The sequence below is a fragment of the Homo sapiens genome, chromosome 2 (genome assembly GCF_000001405.40).
Source record: "Homo sapiens chromosome 2, GRCh38.p14 Primary Assembly".
Lineage (NCBI taxonomy): Eukaryota > Metazoa > Chordata > Mammalia > Primates > Hominidae > Homo > Homo sapiens.
Genome location: NC_000002.12, coordinates 118,737,914 through 118,740,746, shown reverse-complemented (window position 1 = coordinate 118,740,746; position 2,833 = coordinate 118,737,914). Strand labels below are relative to the sequence as shown.

At 42.1% G+C, this 2,833-nt stretch overlaps 1 annotated feature.

The window, feature by feature from the left end:
• Positions 1,860 to 2,154: an enhancer, noted in NCBI's record as "tiled region #6388; HepG2 Activating non-DNase unmatched - State 24:Quies, and K562 Activating non-DNase unmatched - State 5:Enh". NCBI's record gives its function as "activates a minimal TATA promoter and a strong SV40 promoter by Sharpr-MPRA in HepG2 and K562 cells {active_cell/tissue: HepG2 | K562}" and the evidence as "EXISTENCE:reporter gene assay evidence [ECO:0000049][PMID:27701403]".

The following is a 2,833-nucleotide window of genomic DNA, read 5'->3' as shown; positions in this document are numbered from 1 at the left end:
TGGAATGACTCAAAAGATTCCATAAGGAGGGATTCTTAAACTTGGTGTGCCCTGGAGCCCTCTGGTAGTCTGATGAAGGTCATTTATTCCCTTCTCAGGATGTTTTAAAATGCACAAAAACACAAAGAATTTCCAAGGAAACCAACCATCTTAGTCTGCTTGAAACACTTCAACAAAATATCACAGACTGAGTGACAAACAAAATAAATGTATTTCTCGCAGTTCTGGAGGCTGGAAGTCTGAGATCAGGCTGCCAGTATAGTCAAGTTCTGGTTTGGGCTCTCTTCCTGGCTTGCAGACAGCCGCCTTGCTGTATTCTTTCATGGCCTCTGCTCTCTCCCTCCTCTTCAAAGGGCATTAATCCTAGGAATAGAGCCCCACCTTCATGTCTTAATTACGTCCCAAAAGCCCCATCTCCGAATACCACAACATTGTGGGTTAGGGCTGCAACATATAAATTTTGGGAGACACAAACATTCTGTCCATAACGCTAATTATATTGGAACGTAGTTATTAAGCTATTAAAAAACAAAATTTGGATATAGTAATGTATGCATTTTGTTATTAATGTAGTATGCAACTAAAATGCTTAAAAATCAGTGTGTTAAAGTATATTTTAAAAGACTGATTAGGGTGAAAGTTATAGTTGCTTGTTTGAATAAAAACTTTCAACTATGGGGTGGTTTTGGGCAAGGCAACATGCATGTCATACTGGATATGAAAATACAGTTGTGATTCTTTTCTCAGCCCAGTCCATGGGCCCCCTGCATGCTCTCCAGGGACCCTTCCCAGCATGGTGTAACCTTCCCTCTTACCTCTTACACCTCATCTTCTAGTCTCCTCCAGACACACTGCCCTTGTTGCTGTGTCTCCATTAATCCAGGCACATTTCTGCCCCACGACTTTTGAGCCTGTGCTTGTCTCTACCTAAACTACTCTTCTTGCCAGCGTCTGTGTGGCTCCCTCCCTCACTTCTTTCAGATCTTTCCTCAAATCTCACCTTCTCAGTGAGGCCATCTTTGAATGTCTCCCACCAACATAGGGCTCCCATTCTCCCTCCCTGCTTTATCTTTTTTGTATTGCTAACTAACCTTTTCTAATATCTTCCTTAACTATTGCCTCTATTTTTGTGTTTCTCCACTAGGACATAAGATACATTTCGGTGGAGATTTATCAGTTTTGTCCACTGCTGTATTCCTAGTGCCTAAAATAGAGCAGGCAATCAATAAATATTTATTGACTAGATGCACAAATTTACATGAATATTGTTCTGAGCAAAACATAATCAGAGGTAAGTCTGTTGTTTAACTTCTTCCCAAATTTTGGTGTACTGAATCCTATTCAGTATTACATTGAAAATATCCTCATAAGTGCTAATAAAGCCTCCTGTAAGAATCCAGTGACATTGAGCAAAACACCCACCTAAGGGTAATATTTGCTTTTTGAGGGAATGAATGAGGGGCAGGAATGGTGAAGTGGGTCAATCCAGGGCCACTGTCTGGCTGCGCATTCCTGGCAAAAACCTTATCTCTCTGAACCTCATTTTTTCATCTGTAGGAGGAGAATAACTATACTGACCTCAAAGGGTCACATTGAGCCTTAAATGAGATAATCCATGAACAGTGCAAAATCAGGCACAAGAAATAAATGATGGCTGTTGGCAGTACTTGTAATAAGTCACAAGAGAAGAAAGCCAAGAGTTCCAGGAAGTTTTCTGCTCTGCAGGAGACTTGGAGGTCCTGGGGAAAAGCCACATTTGAGCAGAGGAGAATATACTGTGCTGGAGTCACCCTCCAGGTCTCCCCCCATTTGGTGCTCCAGCCTTTTCCACCAGAGGACTTGGTGCTCGGAGCCTGCCCCTGGCCCTGGCTGCTTGTGGATGCCTCTGGCTCTCAGAAAAGGCCATGTAAATCAGAGCTGAAGGGAAGGGATGGAGAAATTCAGGCCAGGCCATGATTCAAAAGGCAGCAGGAAATGAATACATTTGTTGGAACACAGGGCCAAAAGGACTTGAAGCGTCTGGAGTGAGTCATCAGGTATGCTGAATGCGTACACAGCTCCTGGCTCACAGACTGGGCTGATAGCTACTGGGAGATCAAGCTATGAATAATACGGTATATGTTCCCGCCAACAGAAATTATTTTTAGATTCGCTTCTGTTTCACATTATTCATTGCCCACTTTCCATTTATTAATAAAGATGATTGGAAGTTGACTGACAATAAATACATTATGTATTATTTTATGCACCTATTCACCAAATTTGCTAACCACTAACTATATGCAAGGACTGAGGCACTGGAGATACTAAGATGAACAATATCTGAAAAGTTCACAAAAATAATCTCATGTTATTCTCAGACCAACTCATGAAGGAGGTAGTAGCTACCTTCAGTTAATAATGGATTTGTTGATTGATTGATTCATGTATTACATCATCCAAAATACTTACTGAGCACCTACAAGGTGCCAGGTGCTGTGCTAGATGCTGAGAAGTTGATAATAAGACAAAAGCCTTACATTCTATGGGAGAGACGAACATAAGTAAGGAAGCACATAATTACGTAGCATAATGTCAGGAAGTGATGGGTGTCATGAACAATGAAGTCGGGCTGGAGATGGGAGCTAGAGAGATATTGCTAGACAGAAGGTGGTTTTGAGCAGAGAGACCTGAACAAAGAGCGAGAATGGCTGGGTCCTTCAGTGGAGGACAAAGGACATCTCTGGACTTTTCTCTGAAAACGATACCACAGAAAAATGAAATGACTTTTCCAGGATCACACAACCAGGTGGCTACCCAGCTGCAGTACTGCTCTGGCCTCAAGATGGTAACC